This window comes from Homo sapiens, chromosome 17 (genome assembly GCF_000001405.40).
Source record: "Homo sapiens chromosome 17, GRCh38.p14 Primary Assembly".
Lineage (NCBI taxonomy): Eukaryota > Metazoa > Chordata > Mammalia > Primates > Hominidae > Homo > Homo sapiens.
The window spans coordinates 60,068,988-60,088,783 of NC_000017.11; the positions used below are offsets into that span (position 1 = coordinate 60,068,988).

The following is a 19,796-nucleotide window of genomic DNA, read 5'->3' on the forward strand; positions in this document are numbered from 1 at the left end:
ATGTTGGGTAAATGCTGAGTGAGTGAATGAGTGAAATAATTTCTAATAAGAAGCACTTTGATCAGGTATGACATTTCTGGAAGTGAATCCTTGGCCATACATCTGTATGCTCCAGGTTCTCCAACCAAAGCACGAGGGAGATGGCAGCTTCTGGAAAGGCTGGGAAATCAGGTGAATGTAAGGTGTGGAGATGGTGCGCTGACTGGTAGGTGGGCTTCTAACAGTCTAGAGTGGGGTTGGCAAATTATGGCCCAAAAGCCAAATCCAGCCCAGCACACAGCCTGCTTCTGTAAATAAAATTTTAGTGAAACACAGTCATGCCCATTCATTTACATAGTGTCTATGGCTGCTTTTGCACTGTTACAATAGAGTTGGTAGTTATGACAGAGACCTGAAGTATTTACTAGCCTAGTAGAGAAAGTTTAGAGAACGTTTGTTGACTCCTGGTCTTGAGCATCATGGGGATGAGAATGCTTGGTTTGGGGTATAAAGTGAATGCTCATTTTTATAGCTGTTATACTGACTACACCTCTAAGAAGTATAAGATGCTTTAATTGGTATTTTGAGCATCAGATGAGTTTAAATTTACTATGCTAACAACCCTAAACTGAAATAAAATTCAAGGTAGGCTTTTAGGGTAGTAGTGATGCAAATCATAGAAAACACACACAACAATCTATTAAAAATAAGCCACAACTTAAATCTAAATAAACATAAATGTACCAAAGTTGGTCGAGAAGCACTGGATTCTGATTGCTGTGGTTTGATAGGTGTTCGCCCATCATACTGAGGAAGCGGAGTTGGGTATAACACCGTGGGCATCTCTATGTTTAGTCCAGGGAGTCCGTGAAACATGAATTTCTAATAATGATGAATAAGGACACACACACACACACGAAACCAAAAAAACCATTAATCATAAACCATTAATCATAAAATAGAACTATTTACCATGTCTGGATCACAACACTCATAGATAATGTTCAAAAGCCTACTAAGGAAATATAAATGAGATAGAAAATAGATACCTTGAAGGCATAGGGCTTAAAGAAGAGCTGAAGTTTATCTGGCCTCCAGCTGGATTTGGTTTGGTCAGATCAAATCAGGTCTGGTTTTAGTTTCCTTATTTATTTATAAAATTTATCCAATTACTTTATCTGTCTATAATTTTTTAAACAAATTTATCATTTTTATTTACCTATCTCCACCTATAGCTATCTCTCTATTTGATGTGGGAGCAAGAGAATGCCACAAGGAAAGAATTACTTCTTACTTTGCTGGCTGAAGAAGCTGGGTCCCCAGAGATGCTGGCCTGACTTTCCGACTGACTGGCACGCTCGGAAGCTGCCCATTGACACACGTCTTGGTTGGCCTGTCTACTACTTGGAGGAGAAAGCCAAGGAGAAGCACTGGCTCTTCTTGTACAAACAAGTACAACATAGTCTATAATTAAATATTCTATAGGTCATACTCCCCTACCGATTCCCTTCCTAAGATTCATAAATAATTTTAAAATTTTGATGCATTTATTAAATGGAGATTTATTTTCTGTTCTTAATATTAAGTGTCTTTGAATATGAACATTTTTGTCTACTCTCTCAAAATATATGTAAGAACTTTTAATACCTCAAAGTTAGCCTTAGAATAAGGATGTAAAGTGGTCCTTGTACCATGGGTTGAAACAGGAAAGACAATGATCATATGAAGACTTGCCTTACCTTTAGCACAGCTAAAAGTGCTCCAAGTTCATCAGTCTGTGTTAGTTTCATTCTCCCACCATTTAGAAGTGACTGTATACCTTTTAATGCATTTTGCAATAACTAGGGGGAAAAGGGAGACCCAGTTAGAAGGCAGAATAAAATCTGGTTGTCCAGGAATCAACTTACTAGCACCACTTAGGATGGAAGAGAGACAGTCTCTAGATGATGAAAAAAAACTTTATTATAGACACACATATACACACACAAAGCAGAAATGAAGATCTAAGGAGACCTAATAAACTACCATGAATTCTTTTCTAGAAGAAAAGAATAATGAAGTGGTCTTATTGTACATGTTTATAAACCACTATGTACAAATGGTGAGCAAGAAAAAAGAGAGAAGATGTTTAGCAAGAAAAATGTGACAAGGGATAAAAAAGATAGCACAGATCAGAATTGGGAAAGCTCTGTAATATGGCAAACCCAGCCCTCTTAAAAGCAAGGGGATGTATGTGGGAACTGCTGATAAATTATAGAAACTTGGTTTCTGGAGGGCAATTCTGACCAAGATTGATTTCTTGACTCAGTAATCTCATTTCTAGAACTCTCTCCTTAAGAAACACTTCCGACATTGGGATGATGTGAACTGTAGCCTTGTTTGAAATAGTGGGAAAATTTTAAAAACTTCAATTTTGATGATTATGATAATGATTATAAAAGAAGCTAACCCTCTGCTAAATGTAAAACTCAACAACAATAACAGTAGGCCCTTTGAATGCTTTATTTCATATACTTCTCATAAGAACCCCACAATGTGGTTATATCAGTCCCTTTTCAGGGAGGAACACAGAGGCTCCAAGAAGTTAACTAACTTGTCCAAGGTCTTCCAGCCATAGCAGTTAGAAACTATGAGGTATATTAACAGGAACCGAATAGATGTCCCAGAGATATTAAGTTTTAACAAAACAAGAAAGTTACAAAACAGCATGTTAAATATGATCCCACTTAAAGCTGTAATTATGCTCATTTACATATAGAAAAAAAAATCTGAGGGCACACAGCACAAATTGTCTTCAGTGGCTATATCCGAGCAGGAGACTAGAAGGAACTTTATCTCAGCTATATAACATTTGAAATGTGTTACTCTAAATTTAAAAGATGTTAATAAACTGTCGTTTGCATCGTATTTTTAAAAAAGAAATAAAATATTGCAGATATATTTGGTGAAATCTCTCTTTACTTTCATCTTAAAGATAGTCACTAGCCTGCAACTATTGCTTTTATACTCAGAAGGAAAAAGAATAGTTTCCTCTAAAAATCTAGAATTGCAAAATATAACAAATAAAAAGCTTCTTATAATTTAAACCGAAATGGTATGATTTTAGTCTTTTTAGGTTACAAACATTTCATATATGTGTATTTCTCTAGACGAAGCTAATGGTGCAAATTAAACTCGTTAGTAACACTTTTCCAATCTGCTTCTAGACACATCCGCAACATTCACTACGTCAATGATAGTCCACTTACCATGCAAAATGTGATATCATCCATATCAGATGATTTTGGAGACTGTAAAATAGTCAGAAAAGCTTGGAAACAGACATTTTGGTAGGGCTCCTCCAAATACGGCTGTCCTGGCACACTAAACGCATACAGAGAAAACAACTCAAACTCAGTCTCCTTTAAAATGAGGCTTGCAAAAGACTAATTAAAAATAGCAGTAATATAGACTATTAGAGTTGGAATATACCCTTGAGTGCAACTATGCTATGGAAAATTATTATTTTGGTTAATTAGTTACTGCTGGGGGACAGGCACAGGGCTAGAATGAATATAGAGGAAGGGTGGTTTCCATACAGAAAGGTTACAGAAGTTTGTGGTAGAAGAACTATGGAGAAAGAAAAATCTTGTTTTAGTTCTGCTGTTCAGTCCTAGGAGGGAAATAATCCAGACAGGTCCTGTCAAGCTAGAATCACACATCTGTACCTGCCTTCCTACTCGCTGGACAGCACTGTGCTATGCAGAGACGAGTTCACATTTGTGCTGCTCATTGTCTACTGCCTACTGTGAGAATCGAGGGTGAGCAGCTGGGGCTGTTTCCATCTTCTTCAAAGAAAAGAAATTGCCCTTTACAGATACATCTCACCAGCACTTAAAATTTGCATGAATATATCCTTCTAAAAACTTAATATGCTTAGAATTTATATCAATAGAAAACAAAATTTTGACATACTGCACATTATGTCACTATTACCACATTTTAGGAATATGGTCCTAGTCTATTTTTTCCTTCTTTACAAGCAATACTAAAATTAACAAACAACATAAGATGATTTTATTAGTAAAGTACATGGGAAATGCAAAGTTAGTTATTTGTCTAAGTTGGCTCTGGCTTCAGGCACAGGGAACTACCTACAAAGGGCCCAATAGAGGCACTATCTTATTACCATTGAGAAACTTGACTGGAGCCACATACCTGAGACATAAGTTTGCCATACAATGTACTGCAGCTCTCCTGACTTCAGGATCAGACTGAGCCAAGTCACTCAACTTCATTAAGAGTCCGGTGTTGCCTAGCAGCTCTGGGAGGTACTAAGAAAAATAAGAGTCAATGTAGGTCAAAGAAAAGCTTCTAGGAAAATATTATGTTTTAGACAGATTTCTTCTTTCTTTTTTTAACTAAATGGCAGTTAAGCACCAAAAGACTAGCTGTTAGATAAATGTCTCCGATGGATATGCAAAGATATGCCAAAAAGCATCAATAATGATCATTACTCCCAGCCTAGGTAGCTGCTGATGCTCTTTAGTGTGGCCGTATGGCTGATGGGTAATGATAATATTAAGAATAATGTTTACTATTTACCGAGGGCCATGAACTTGACACGTATTGTCTCACTTCATCCTCAGAGTAACTATTTTATACATGAGGAAACAAGGCCCAGAGTGGTTGAATAAGAATTGCTAGAGATTAGTGGCAAGATAGAAACCTGAACACAGTGTTGGCACCAGAGTCTGTGCTCCTGGCCTTTCAAAGGAAGGATAAAGCACTTTAAACTACCTTTTGACATTTGGAGCCATTGCAGTACACCAGAGCTGCCAGGGCTTGAAGAATTTCCCTGTGTGTCCAGGAACTACACTGATGAATAGCCGAAATAGTATATGCCAACAGGAAATCCAAGTGCTGTTCATCAACAATTACCTAACAGGACAGGAAAAGATATATTCTGATCTAACTTTTAAAAAATATTATGCTTTTATGGACATGTATGCTCACCTGAATCAAGCTGTATAAAAGAGAGAGTGTGTGTCTGTCGTTTATGTGTCAAAAGGATCACCTCTAAAGGGCCTGAAAGTTTGATCAACGTAGGGGCCTTCTCCCCACCCCAAGGTCTTGCTCACTTCTTCCTCTTTAGTAAAGTAGAACTTGATGAAGTCCTTGTAACTTTTCCTTGAACTAACCAGACATTGGCAGCTGTGAATACACAGATATGAGTATTTCAACGCACTGAAATTTAATTAAACTGCCTTATACATAATAAACACTCAATGAATACACAGTGAACCAATATAACTGCTAAATACCTACTGCATCTCTAACATGACATGAGGAATACACCATGAAGAGAGGGCATATCCCTGCTGTCAAGGAGCTGATAATCTTGTTGGGACAGACCAGGCTAATCCAAGTGTCAATTTATGGACAATTGAGACAAACTGTCACCAAGTGCTGGAAAGCTGGTAAAGGGTTATAGGTGCCACAGGTGATCAGGAACATCTCCAATTGCCAGTGTTACAAAGATGATACACCTGAGAATAGTAAACATACAGAAGCTACCTCATGTTAGTTTCAAAGATTCTAAACTGAAAACAGCCTTACTCCATGCAGCAGACACTGTTGGTTACCTACTAGCATCCATTTCTTCCTTCCCTGCTGGCAGAGTACTAATTTAATTGGATGTCCACCTCTCCCATGTGAGACCTAAGGGTAAACGCTAATTAGTTTAAGAGAGTGGGGCAACCTGGGGCAACCTTAACCCCCAAGGAACATTTGGCAATGCCTGTATACATTTTTGACTGTCACAATTGGAGAGGTGCTACTGGCGTCTAGTGGGTAGAGGCCAAGGATGCTGCTAAACATTCCACAATGTGCAAGACAGCCCCTAAAACAATGATCTGAGCCAAAATATCAATAGTGCTGAGGTTGAGAAACCCTGATGTAGGCTAACTGTGGCTGCACATTGTAAGCATCAAGGGAGCTTAAGTCCTCCTCCAAGTGATTCTAATGTGTAGTGAAGGTTGAAACTACTAGCTGGAGCCATTCACAATAAGACCATCCTCCTGCTTAAAGACTGGTTTAGAGAGGTATTTATATGACCTAAGTCTCTCCAGCAAGATATTGGGGAGTCTACTAGAGAGTTCATGGGACACGTTTCCTTACTGTTAAGTACAAGAGACACAACATAAAATAAAGTTAATTAGCTTCTGCTGAACAGTAATCATTTCTTTGGCATGGGATGTCCAGAATTGGCACAGCCATCTTATGACTGTGAGACATGCTAGCTGAGGATAACCCACATGCTGAGGACGGTGAAGGGAAAGATGAGCCTCTTATTATTAAGGGGCTACAGATGCGTCCCTTGGGACTTGGGACATGGAGTGATTCCTTTTTATTTTTTTAAAAATTGTTTAGTGACTCTGGGATGGCTTTTCTGCTTATTGCAGCCAAAAGCATCCTAATTCACATAATGCTAGTTGATATGTTTTGTGCTCTTAAATATATTCACATACTCATGTGGTAACAGTCTTAAATAAATAACTGGGGTCTTTTTATCCTGCTGTCCCCTTGGCCCCAAGCTACTTCTTATATTTTAGAAGCATCAAAAGTAGACCATAAAAATGGTAGCTTCAGGAAAGGGGAAAAATATTGGTGGGAAAGAGGCAGGGGATTATTTCAATTTATTCTTAGATATATTTTGTTCAAATATATCTTCCATAAGAAATTATAAATTAGCCGGACGTGGTGGCGGGTGCCTGTAGTCCCAGCTACTTGGGAGGCTGAGGCAGAAGAATGGTGTAAACTCGGGAGGCGGAGCTTGCTGTGAGCTGAGATCGCGCCACACTCCAGCCTGGGCAACAGTGTGAAACTCTGTCTCAAAAAAAAAAAAAAAAAAGAAATTATAAGGTTGGGGGGCCTGAATGATATTGGTTTACTGAACCAAACAGAAAGGCATACTTCTAATAAACAAACTTCTAGAATTCTACAGAATAATTTTTTTGGATCAGAGTTATATTTGCTTTAAAAGCATTCTTATTTAGGCATTTGCTTTTCCTATAGCATCTCAAAAAACAGCCTATCATACCTACTACAGATGTAGTATTTCAAAGGTATTTACTTACTCTCAAAGTTCATGATCTGAATTCTAGAGTTACATACATGATTACCTGTAATCTGTTAAGTAAATGGTGGATAAGCTGGCTCACTTTGCTGACAAGATGATTCTGATTAAGAGGTACCAGTCGGCAAGCCTGGACAAGAAGAGCACTAACGTCCTACCAAAAAAAAAAAGATAAGAGGTAAAATACTTATTAGTCAAGTGAAGATCCTCAAAACACAGCCAAATGGGAAAATAAAAGTAAATATTCACATTCAAAATGGGGAAAGAAAATGTGAGGCAGGAAGGAAAAAAATGAAGTGATAGCACAAAAACAGCATGTGCTAAAAAAGAAGGAAAAAGCCAGGCACAGTGGCTCACACCTAATCCCAGTTCTTCCGGAGGTCAAAGCGGGAGGACTGCTTGAGCCCAGGAGTCCAAGACCAGCTTGGGCAACATAGTGAGACTCCATCTCTACAGAAAAAACTTTTTTAAAAAAATTAGCTGGATATGGTGGTATGTAGTCCCAGCTTCTTGGGAGGCTGAGGTGGGAGGATGGCTTGAGCCCAGGAGTTTTAGGTCACAGTGAGCTATGATCTTGCTGCTGCACTCCAGTCTGGATGACAGAGTGAGACCTTGTCTCTTAAAAAAAAGAAAAAAGAAAAAAAAAGGAAAAGAATCAGTACGGTTTTGGTCAGGCTGAAGACTCTGTGCTCTCTATATGTAAAGACAGTATAATTAAATAACCAGAAAAAGGCTTCTAGGGTATGAAAGCACAAACTGAAGCTAAAAATATCAAAAGGTAAGTGAACCAGATTTTCAATGCCATTGGGAAAAATCAGACCTAACACTTCTATGGATTTTATGCATAATTAGGGAATTCTTAAAAAAAAAAAAAAAAAAAGAGGGACCTATTTGCAAGTCACACTCTTCATCCATCGATGTTTATAGAATGACAAGGTTCTGAGCACCTACTATGTGTCATAGTGTGCTAGGTCTTTGGGCTCCAAAGGTAAAACAAACATGTTCCTGAACCTCAAAGAGCTCACAAACTAGTGAGAGAGAAAGAAACACAACAAATAATTAAAATAAGGTGAATCAAGTGCTGAAAGAATAAAGTACAAACTCTGTCCAGAAACAGTAATTAGGGAGGCCTTGTGGAGGTGACTGTAAAGCAGAATCTGGAATGATTTGAAGGATGAGGAGAAATTTGCCAGATAGGGCATCAAAAAACACTGCAAGCAAAGTGGACAGAGTATGCAAAAACCTGGAGGTGTGAAACACTAGTAGGTGCCTGAAGAACAGCAAGTTTTAAATGGCTGCACACAGGAACAAAAGGGGGAGTAACAGGAGAGAATGGAAGTTTTGTTGCAAAAGTATCCAATTACACAAATACAGCAAAAGTCCCCGACTACTGCCTTAATCTCACTCTGCTTCCTAATGACATACACTATTATTCTGTAGTCAATTCTTTCAGACCTTTTACTTTGCATATATAAACACACATATTTTAAAATCCCTCCTCCAGCTTCATACTGATCTCATTCTGTATGAATTGTCCTGCAACTTGCTTCAACCATTTACCAATACGTATTGAAGACTTTTCCAAAGCAGATTTTAAAGTTTATGAACAATTTTTTTTCCTCCTAAAGAAAAGATCATTCTGGCATTGGAGGAATGACTGGCTTGGAGAGGAGCTAGACAGGAGGCAGGAGATCAGTCAGAGGGGATCAGCGAACAGTCCAGGCATAAGTCGCCTTGCCTGAGGTCTAAGGCACTCGCTATGGGAATAGACAGGAGGGGATGAACTGAGAAATATATATGAGACACATTCTGAAATACCTGAGTTGGTCAGGATCTGGGATGAAGGAGGGAAGAACCAGTGTTTGTGTCTGGTGTGACTTGGTGGATGATGCATGTGTGTTGGAAGGTGGGATGGACTGGGGACGGGAATGCGTGTTTGGAGCTAATGAATTTCATCTTTAGGAACTGTCTAGTTTGAGATGCCTGTGCAAGCAGGCAACTTGCACCACTTCCCTCTTTCCTACGTAGGGCCAGAAGGCCATGGTGTCAACAGTTCAGAGAATTCATTAATTTAAGGCCTGATGTGTGTAAGATTACTCAGAAAGACGGCAGAGGGGAGGAGCTAGTGTGTAGGAACAGAAAACATAGGGGCTTTGTGGCAGAGTTTTGTATACTGTATTTTTACGAGCTTCAGTATTTTCATTAGCAAACAAGCCCTAATACTACGCAAGTTCTAAGATTCCCACGTGGTCCGTGTACCATGTACGCAATAAACAGTAGTAATGCATTTTGTCAACCAAGTGTTCTGGGTGCACAGAGAGGGAGTGAAGGAGGGTGCGGGCGGATGGAAAGTTGGTATCAGAGAGGAAACCCGAGGCATTATCAGAGCAGGAGTCGTCAAGTTGGGTTTTGAATGACTCGAGCGTGCCAAGCACTGCAGGGTCTTCCAAATGGAGAACTAAGAATGTGCCAAGGTTGGAGGGGGCACGCCATCCTGAAACTAAATCATCAGGCGCGAGAGTGGGAAGATCAGGGAAAGGCAGGCAGAGGCCACCAGCTGGGTTCCCGGAGGGGTGGGGCCGGGGCCGGGGCCAGCAGGGCGCGCCGCCTACCTCCGGGGCCACGCCACTGCCCTCGCTGTAGTTCTCGGAGATGAGCTGATCGAAGAGCAGGTGGATCTCGGTGCGGGCGGAGCTGCTGTCATCCGGGCGCAGGGCGCAGAGCCTGGCAGACAAGAGGCGAAACCCATTGCCTCGCTCAGGGATTGCTTCCCGCGGTGCCTCCCGCGGCTGCACGGAAGGCCACGAACCGACAACTTGCACAGCAGCCATCTTTTCTACGGGCGGGGGGGGTGGGTGGGGTGATCCCAGGGAAATACTTCCGGGACATCCTCCCGTTCCGCGCGCTCTAGTTCCGAAAGTACCTTTTTTAGACCGGACTGGGGCTCAGAGGGGTTTCCATGACTACGGGACTCCTCCGACCGGTACCCTGCAGATGCTTGTCAGAAATTGGCTTGGAGGCCGGGCTCGGTGGCTGACGCCTGTAATCCCAGCACTTTGGGAGGCCGAGGCGGGCGGATCACGAGGTCAGAAGATCGAGACCATCCTAGCTAACACGGTGAAACCCCGTCTCTACTAAAAATACAAAAAAAAAAAAAAAAAAAAAATTAGCCGGGAGTGGTGGCGGGCGCCTGTTGTCCCAGCTACTCGGGAGGCTGAGGCAGGAGAATGGCGTGAACCCGGGAGGCAGGGCTTGCAATGAGCCAAGATCGCGCCACTGCACTCCAGCCTGGGCGACAGAGCGAGACTCCGTCTCAGAAAAAAAAAAAAAGAAAGAAATTGGCTTGGAGATTTTTCGCCGGCCACTCCTTCTTGAGCCCTGACTGAAAAGTGAGTTCTCAATTTGTGCTTCCAGAAAGTTTGTCCTCCCAGAGTTTGTTCCTGGACAGGGCTGAAGGTACTCTGTTCCGTACTAGAGTTTCAGATTCGGGCTGGAGTTGGAGAGGGTATGCTGTGGATGGCAGTAGCAGAAACCGCTAGTTCTAAGGCACCCTTCTACTCTTCTAAAATCTTTCCCCAGGCACAAAACCACCCGGAATAAAGGCTACGTTCCCTAGCATTCCTTGCAGTTGGCTGTGGCTCTGTGATTGCAATCTGGTCAGTGGAATATAAGGCAGCTTTCCCTACTTAAGTGACAGCTGGCTGTACTCTTGGTTCCTTTTTCTCCCTTTTTCCCAGTGTGAATCCTCTCATGGATCATGAGGCACCTCGCCCCACTAGAAGAGTAATTTTGGAGTTTAACTGAATCATGTAAAATATAATCTGCCTAAGAGTGACCGGGTTGAAATGAGACACCCCAAGATTTTCTGAAACCTTGAAGTCAAGAAGCTGGAGAATAAAATGGCCATTTAAAAATCTGTGATCACTTTTCAGTCATCCAGGAAGTGAAGGCTTGACTTTCACAGTTGGGCAGATTGGGAAAACCATCTCTAGGGCCTTTGAGTTATGCAAATATAAAGCAAATCCTCACCCTTGGCCCTTAGGGAAAACCTTGAAGTCACCTGAATGTATGTTTTATCCTGAGAACAAAACATTTCTGTTCAGCAGTGAAAATTGGGGGTATGCTTTAGCAGAGGTAGTTTTCTGAAGACTTTGGGCTTGGGGAGAAATGTTAATTTTTTTGTTTGGATTTAGATTCCGTTGTGCTGGTATATTATTTCTTATTCCTAGTCTGTGTACATATGTGCGTTATATATGTGCATGTGTGTGTGTGTATTCGTGTAAAGAAATGTATTCAAGCATTTGTTCAGAGAAGATCAGGAGCTGAAACCTAGTCGTTGGATATTTTAATCTGGGTTCCCTGATAGCAGAGCCTCAGATGAGGTTGATAGGTGAGGGATTTATCCAGAAATGAACAGGGAAGGAAGGAGAATTAATACCAATATGTGCTATTGAGTTGGCCATTGCAAGGGGTGACTGATTGTTCAGTCCTCAGGAGTTTCTGAGAAGCCTTGTGAAGCTCTCAAAACCCTTCTTCTGAGGAACAGAGAGGAAAAGCATTTATCTGTCAGCTTTTGAAGTCTATTGTCAAAAGTTGACCACAAGGCATTAATTCACTGGTGTTCCTGTGTTGAGCATGCATCTGTGCTTGGTTCCTGGAGGAGTCCTATGTTGCATAGTCAAAGAAGCCCTGAGGCAAAAGTGAGGAAACTAGGTGCATATCTGAGGCAAGGCTCTCACCAGTTATACCTGTGCTAAGCTAGTAGATGCCTGTGATAAACTAGTTGCTGTAGCAATGGCTAGAGTAAGAATGTAAGACCAAGAGTATGTGAAGTAGTACTAAAGAGCTGTCTTACACATTGGGCTAGAAGGATGTGAGGCCTGGTCATTTCCACAATGCACGTTCGAAGAGACTGGAAAGGATCTGGGTTTGGTGTGGTTCACTTTAAGTTGCAATATGGATGACCTACATATTGTGTTATTCAGGGTGGAATGGCCCAGGAATTGTAAAATACAGTATACTGATGCCGGTCTGTTCAGTTCTGGTAGAATATACTGTTTTGGATCAGTGTGGTTCCTTTAAGGAAATGGACATCCCTACTCTGCAGTGATCACCAACTGAAGGAAACGTATCTCAAGCTCTGAGGGAGGCCTTTGAAGGCACCCTGCATTGGCTTGAGTTTAGACAGTAGCACTCCTGCTCCCACCTCCCACCCTGAAACTGTGGAAACACAGCATGGCAAAAGCTCTCTTCCAAGAAAATCTTCTGTCTCCTCCTCAATTCTCTGCATTTTCATAGTCCTGCAGTGACTGAGGGGCTTTAAGGGGTGCTAAGCACGTTCACAGCCATTTCCTTTGTTAGATTCTGCATCGGATGATCTGGAACCTCAGTGGAATTTCACTCCTTTCATGTGTGGAAACCTCTCAAGACTTCACTTTTATCCCTTCATGAGCGTCTGGGTCATCCTAACTCACGTAGGCTTGCATACCCCCACTTCACTCTAATTCACATCTTTGATTATTTCCTTCGGAAAATTTACCATAACCTGCAGTTATCTTGTTTATTTGATGACTTTATCATCTGTTTTCCCCTCTAGAATATTAACTTTATGAAGGCACAGTTCCCGTTTGTCTCATTCGCTGTTGTATCCCAGGGCTAGCACAGCCCCTGGGATGTGGTAGATGCCCCACAATATTTGTTAACAGAATGAATGAATTCACTAATTTTTTATTCAGGGTCCCCTATTTGCCACCGGTTGATGTGAAAATCGAATGGGATTTTTGTGAAAATGCTTTGTAAACTATAAAGTTTTATAAGTCTTAGTATCAAATGAGGTAGATATTATTTCCCCCTTTTATAGTTGGGAAAATGGTGCCGAAGAGTATAAATGGTTGGTCAAGGCTGCACAGGCAGCAAATTGGTTGAAATCAGATTGCAGCCCAGGCTGGCTGTGATTGTGAAGAACATAGACAAGAAATTATAAACCCATTGTTTTTTACCTCCCACATTTTGTAATGGGGAAAACCAGAAGACAGGAGCTTGATTTCGGTATCCAGATTACACTTTGAACCAGGAGAGGCTAGGAAGGAGGATTGGCCTTGAGTTCTGTTTCAGGGTCATCAGCCTATCTATGTGATTACATAGGAGTCCCCCCTTATCAGTAGTTTCACTTTCAGCCTTTTCAATTACCCGTGGTCAATCACAGTATGAAAATATGAAATGCGCTGGGCGCAGTGTCTCATGCCTGTAATCCCAGCACTTTGGGAGTCCGAGACGGGCTGCTCACTGGAGGTCAGGAACTCGACACCAGCTGACCAACATGGTGAAACTCCATCTCTACTAAAAATACAAAAATTAGCCGGACGTGTTGGCACACGCCTGTAATCCCAGCTACTTGGGAGGCTGAGGCAGGAGAATCACTTGAACCTGGGAGGCAGAGATTGCAGTGAGCCGAGATCACACCATTGCACTCCAGCCTGGGTGACCAAAGTAAAACTCCGTCCAAAAAAAAAAGAAAAAAAAAACGAAATGGAAATTTCCAGAAATAAACAATTCATACATTTCAACTTGCTGCTGTTCTGAGTAGCGTGATGAAATCTTGCGCCATCCCACTTCATTCTGCCTGGAATGTGAATCATCCCTTAGTCAAGCATATCCACGCTTTATATGCTACCCACCCGTTAGTCACTTAATAACCATCTCAGTTATGAGATCCACTGTCCCAGTGCTTGTGTTCAAGTAACCTTTATTTTGCTTAGTGGTCTCAAAGCATAAGAGTAGTGATGCTGGCATATTGTTATATTTGTTCTATTTTATTATTAGTTATTGTTAATCTCTTACTGTGCCTAATTTATAAATTTACTTTATCATAAGGATGTATTTATAGGACAGAACACATATATAGAGAGTTTGATACTATCCACGGCAGTATATGTAGAGTTTGATACGATCCACGGTTTTGTGCATTCACTGGGGGTCTTGAAACATATCCCCCGTGGATTAGGGGTACTACTGTGTTAATAATCATTGTAGTTAACACTTACTGAATGCTTTCTATGTGTCAGCACTTTATGTGACCCTCTTTAATCTTTGTAGTTTCATGAGGTACTATTATATATATGAGTCGAATCACAGAAAGATGAAGACTCTCACTGAAGGCCACATGGCTGTGTGGTGTGCCTGGGTTTGAAATTCAGAGTCAGGGCTCCTGACCACCATGCTATAATGCATAGGACTTATATGGCGTTCGACATGAGATTATAGTTTAGGCCCTGACACTTACCTGCTATATGACTCTGCCCCAAACCTCAGTGTCCTCAAATGGTAATGATAAGAAGTGCAGTCAAAAGGTTGTTAAGGTTACTTAGATAATGCCTGGGGAGAATTTAACATGGTCCTTGTTGATAGTCAGTACGCAACAAATGTCATCTGTCCTCCTCCCCCTCCTCCTCACCTTTAACCAAATAACTCAAATAGTATGAGTGCTTTTAACAATGATGATTTATTAAAAGAAACAACCCCTCTTCCCTGCCTCCCATATCCCCTGTAGTCTCCATCCACAGGCTTGCTGTTTTCATCCATCTTCCTAGTCAAGGAACTCCAGACAGTCACATCTTGGAAGATAGGAACTCCAGGAAGGGATGACGATCTTAGGGAAAGATGATCCTTAAGATAACTCTTCATCTGAGAAAAAGACAAAAAAAATTTTGCCCGAGACCTGCTGTTTTGGGGACCTGGATCCACAGAATACAATCAAGAGGCAACAGTTCCCAATTTGGGAAATCAATCACACCTGCAAAGAGCCAGCCAGGCCCTAAGCAGTCCAAGGATTGCAGGTGGATTGGCCAAACAATACATTCTGAACACAAAGGGTTTTTATTTAAAGTGTATGCTGATTCTGTTGTGTTTAGTGCAACTTAGTTTATAATCAAAACTGGTAGCTTTTTATTATGCATTTTTCAACTAATGGCTACTGAAAACAAATAAATTATCCTGTGAGGCCCCTGAGATATTTTCACAGAAAAGGGGTTCTCATAAGTCAACATGGCAATGTACATCACAGGGTTAAAATGAACATACTCTTTATTTTTATTTTTATTTTTATTTTTTGAGATGGAGTCTCCCTCTGTTGCCCAGGCTGGTGTGCAGTGGTGCGATCTCGGCTCACTGCAAGCTCCACCTCCCAGGTTCACGCCATTCTCCTGGCTCGGCCTCCTGAGTATCTGGGACTACAGGTGCCCCCACCACATCTGGCTAATTTTTTTTGTATTTTTAGTAGAGGCAGGGTTTCACCATGTTAGCCATTATAGTCTCGATCTCCTGACCTCGTGATCCGCCCGCCTCAGCCTCCCAAAGTGCTGGGATTACAGGTGTGAGCCACCGGGCCCGACCAATGAACATACTCTTTAGTCATCAATTTTACATCTTAGAATTTGTCCCAAGGAAGTTAATAAGTGTGTGTATGCCAATTTAGTATTTGTTACAATCATATTCATAATATCAAAATAAGAAATATCTTAAACATGTATTACTAAAGGTTGCTAAGTATCTGAGCATAGCTGATGAACTTCTATAGGTTATCAAAGATGATGGGATAGAAGCATTAGTATTGACATTAAAAGTTGTTTGGTAGCTACTTTTAAGTGAAATAAAAAATAAAAATAGGCACATGATTATCTCATTTTTATATAAATATTACATATTTGTGTATGTTTAAAATATGCACCAAAGTGTTAAGCAGACATTGTTTTGGGGTGGGGGATTATGTGTGATTTTTATCATTTTGCTTAAGTAAATAGTCCAATTTTTCTCCAGGGCATACTGGGTTAGGGAATTATTTTAAAGGTGTGGAAACCACCAGCCTGTGATGGATGCATCTTTTTCTTGGGAAGGGTGGGGGAAGAGGGAGACAGGTAGGTTTCTGTCCTACTCATTTCTGGAAAGTCCCACTGAGACCAAGTGCACAACCTACCTAGACTGAACAACGTTTCAGAAAGCAGGGAGGGCCTGGTGTTTTTACCTGTCCTTACCCTGCAACACACTCATGGCCACACCCATTGCTGACACAGTGGTCTCCGGGGTTGCAGTCCCAGTCACCTGTGCAGAGCTCGACGCAGGTACCTATGGAAGAACGGATGTGCTGAAAACCACCGTACTTTTGGGACAGATGCTAGGGAGAACAGCCCTTGATTAAGAAGTCAGTTCTACATTTTTCTTTTCATTCAATATGCAATATGATTTATTACTTGAAGAATAATATCATTAACATCTTATATATTCTAGTTAAAAGCAATGCATTCACATAATCTCAAAACAGTAAGGCCGACTTTAGAGATGGGGATAATTGTGTTTGTGGAGGGGAAGTGCAGAGAAACCCACTTAAATGTCTTCACTTTCCCCACTCTGCAGGGAATAGAGTGGAGAAGAAGAGACTCACATTTACCATGTGCCATCGGGAGACACTTGCAGTCACCCCATGCAGTGAGTCTTACTAGGCCCACTTTACAGGTGTGGCAGTTGGGGCTCACAGAGGTGACTTGCTAGCCAGTGGGTACAGAAGTGAGATTCAACTGAGATTTGCCTGGCCCCTCAGTCTGAGCACCTTCTGCTGTCCCACATGGTGAAGCTCATCCTGACCTAGGTACATATCTCCAAATTTCAAGGAGTCATTCTGGACCTGATTGGAGGCTCCCAAGTTCCCAGAACATCAAGCTCTTTGAGGACCAATGAAGTAGGCTCAAAGAGTTGGTTAAGATCGCACAGGCTTTTAGGAAAACATATGCAGAACTCTGGATGAATATGTACTGTACTTTGATTGGCTACTCAGCTATTAGCAGGAATTTCTTTACCTGATTATGTCTCTGGGTCTTTCTGGAACTTTTCTCATCTGTAAAAAGGGGCCCCTGGATTCAGCAGGGGTAATGAGTTTTATTCTCCATTGTCAACTTCAGTCAATAGAGGTGGCTGTCTGATGCTGTGTTGAGAAGGGTCAGACACCTTGTCCAGGTTCAAAGAGAAAGAGTGCTAGGACTGATTAGCAGTATCTGAGGGGTATAAGAAGGGGACCTGGTGGGATATCTTCAATGTAGTTGTAGACCTCAGAGAAAATCAGTACCATCCCCCCATGCTTCCCGTAGCTTTTGTTGATTTGTGGTGAGCAGGCTGAAGATTCCTCTTCCCCACTCACAGCAGTTTGACTTATTAAGTCAATAATATATACTTATTAAGTATATGTTGATTTCTTACTATGTATAAAATAGAGGAAATTATCCAGCAAATACAAAGATATAAGACAAACAAGCTTAGAGTCTAACAATATGGATAAAACATATTCAAAGTACTAAAAACAAAGCAATATGTAACAAGTGTCCTAAGAGAGGTATATCTGAAGAATTAAAGAGTCTCAGCTAGGCATGGTTGCTAATGCCTGTAATCCCAGCACTTTGGGAGGCTGAAGTGGGAGGATCACTTGAGCACAGAAGTTTGAGACCAGCCTGGGTGATACAGTGAGACCCAGTCTCTACAATTTTTTTTTTTTTTAATTAGCCAGGCTTAGTGTCACATGCCTGTTGTCCCAGCTACTTGGGGGACTGAGATAGGAGGATCACTTGAGACCAGGAGATTGAGGCTGCAGTAAGCCATGATCATGCCACTGCACTCTGGTCTGGGCAACAAAGCAAGATCCTGCCAAAAAAAAAAAAAAAAGGCTCAGAGAATATGACATTACTTCCAATTAGATTAATCAGAAAAGGTGAGTTTTGAAGTGCAGGAATCTTTTTAAGGCAGAACTGAGGGGCATGGGTGGAGTGTTGTGAGAAGAAAGAAGAATTACTAGCAACAGTTCACAAGGGGAAATGCAAAAGGGCTGGGATGAGGGTGAGGCAAGTGAGGTGCCTTGCACAATGCTGGCGGTGAGCACCCATTTCATGTTTGCACCCTGGGTGCCTCATCCACTTCACTCCTCACCGTGAAACACAAGGAACACAGGAGGAGTGGCAGATGGAGGGCTGGGTAAGTGTTAGGGAACAGCTGGAAATGAAGCAGGAAAAGTAAGCAGGGGATAAAGTTACGGGGGTTGGGGGGCAGATCTCGAGGGCCTCAGGAGTTTGGATTTCATTTGATAGATCAAGAGAGAGATGTGATTGCTGTTTAATTAGGAAGATTATTCTGGTGTGAGAGCCTAGAATGGAACAGAATTCAACAAGCAAGCAAACTGCTGCAGAAAGACAGGGGCAGGGAGAGCTATTAGGAAGCTCCTTGGATGGCCCAGACATGAGGTCATCGGGGCTGGAAATACTGCGTGACAATGGGAGATGGCAGGGTAAGGAAAGAACATATGCAAGAGACACTCTCAGAGAATGGACAGTATTTGGCAACCAGTTTAATGTCAGGGGAAGGAGAGCAAAGAAGAGAGGAAAGTAATAACTGAATCCAATAATGTTTAGAGAGAAGAATAAAATACCATGAAGGATAATACAGGAGAAAAGAAAGTTTGAGAACTGAGGAGGTGGCGAGCAGTGTCGGACACTACAGAGGTTAAAGACTTGGTGACTGAGGAGTCATGAGATTTGTCCACAGGATCTGGGAGAGAAGTTTCAGGAGAGTGATGGGGCAGGGATGGAGGCTGTAGGCCATCTTCAAGGGGTCAAGGAATAACTTATGGGGGAATAAGGGCAGAGAATTAAGATTACTCCTTTGAGAATGTTGGTAAAAGGAAAAGAAGAGATTGAGATGATTAATATTTAACATGATTCAGAAAATATTTTCTCTAGGTGATCCAATTTACTTGTAGCAAGAGAGGAAGAAGCTTATGGAGAGGGAGAGGGCAGGAGTCAGAGGGTGGCTGATGAGGGGGTAAGAGGGGAGGTACAGAGATTCCAAATGGAGCGGTGACCCAGGGAAAGGAGTGCGGGAAGGTGGAGGTAGAAGAAAAGAGATTCTGCTCTGGGGAGCTGAGTAGCGGCAGTTGGAGGGTCCCTGCAGTGGCCTTTTAAGACCTTTTCTTCTTTCCTTTCTTCCCCTCTCCTCCCCACACACACTGGTCCCTGATGTCCTACTTTCTGGCCCCCTCATTCAAGGAAAAATGAACAGGGCTACCTTCTGCCTGGACTCACCCAAAAGCCGGTCTCCTGCAGCCTGAAGCTCTTGTACCTCTAGGCTGAAGATGATGAGGATCACAGGAGGAGGAAGGCTGCCAACTTCATGTTGCTGTTGGAAGGCTTTGGAAAAACACAGCAGGGCTGAGAGCAGCTGAAATTTATACCTTCCACCCGCTGAGCTGGAATGCAAGGCCAGGGGTGGGACTAGGGACTGCAGACACCTAAGCCCTGCCCAGAAACTGACATTTCTGGAGAATAGCCACCCACCCTGTGTACCCTGGGTCCTTCTACATTACCTAAGCAAGGCTCTGAGCCAAGGGAACGCCCTCCTCTGACAGAAAAATAAGACTCCTACACCAGGCCAGTTGCAGTGGCTCACATCTGTAATCCCAGCACTTTGGGAGGCCAAGGCAGGAGGATCATTTGAGCCCAGGAGTTCAAGACCAGCCTGGGTAACAAGAGCAAGACCCTGTCTCTACAAAATTAAAAAAAAAAAAAGTTAAATAATGAAAAAGACTCCTAAATCAAAAAAGCTGTGAGTGACTGAGAAAAAGGGGCTGGCGTGGGGAGGGTGGAGGGATGAGTATTAACTTTTATTATGT

General features: G+C 42.0%; 1 protein-coding gene, 1 long non-coding RNA gene and 1 pseudogene across 3 annotated transcripts in view, besides 1 other annotated feature; 1 reads left to right on the forward strand and 2 right to left on the reverse strand.

Moving 5' to 3' along the window:
* The window catches only part of HEATR6 (HEAT repeat containing 6), a 37,914-nt gene extending 27,980 nt beyond the window's left edge, over positions 1 to 9,934 (reverse strand). The window contains exons 1-7 of the mRNA NM_022070.5: positions 9,709 to 9,934; positions 7,143 to 7,250; positions 4,759 to 4,899; positions 4,177 to 4,292; positions 3,228 to 3,342; positions 1,719 to 1,820; positions 724 to 861 (exon numbers count right to left, since the gene is read on the reverse strand). Of these exons, the coding sequence (NP_071353.4) occupies positions 724 to 861; positions 1,719 to 1,820; positions 3,228 to 3,342; positions 4,177 to 4,292; positions 4,759 to 4,899; positions 7,143 to 7,250; positions 9,709 to 9,927 (939 nt within the window). The 5' untranslated portion in view covers positions 9,928 to 9,934. The remainder of the gene's footprint in view (positions 1 to 723; positions 862 to 1,718; positions 1,821 to 3,227; positions 3,343 to 4,176; positions 4,293 to 4,758; positions 4,900 to 7,142; positions 7,251 to 9,708) is intronic.
* Positions 9,591 to 9,720: a silencer, noted in NCBI's record as "silent region_8786". NCBI's record gives its function as "represses an Ori minimal core promoter by ATAC-STARR-seq in GM12878 lymphoblastoid cells {active_cell/tissue: GM12878}" and the evidence as "EXISTENCE:reporter gene assay evidence [ECO:0000049][PMID:35858748]".
* A 387-nt stretch (positions 9,935 to 10,321) lies between the features above and the next one.
* Positions 10,322 to 19,708, forward strand: HEATR6-DT (HEATR6 divergent transcript). Its single transcript, NR_135648.1, has 2 exons — positions 10,322 to 10,485; positions 19,174 to 19,708. It is a non-coding gene; the product is annotated as an HEATR6 divergent transcript (long non-coding RNA).
* WFDC21P (WAP four-disulfide core domain 21, pseudogene) lies at positions 14,579 to 19,480 on the reverse strand (annotated as a pseudogene). Its single transcript, NR_030732.1, has 3 exons — positions 19,210 to 19,480; positions 16,068 to 16,216; positions 14,579 to 14,779 (listed from the first exon to the last, which is right to left on the reverse strand). The product of NR_030732.1 is annotated as a WAP four-disulfide core domain 21, pseudogene (transcript).
* Positions 19,709 to 19,796: the final 88 nt, after the last annotated feature.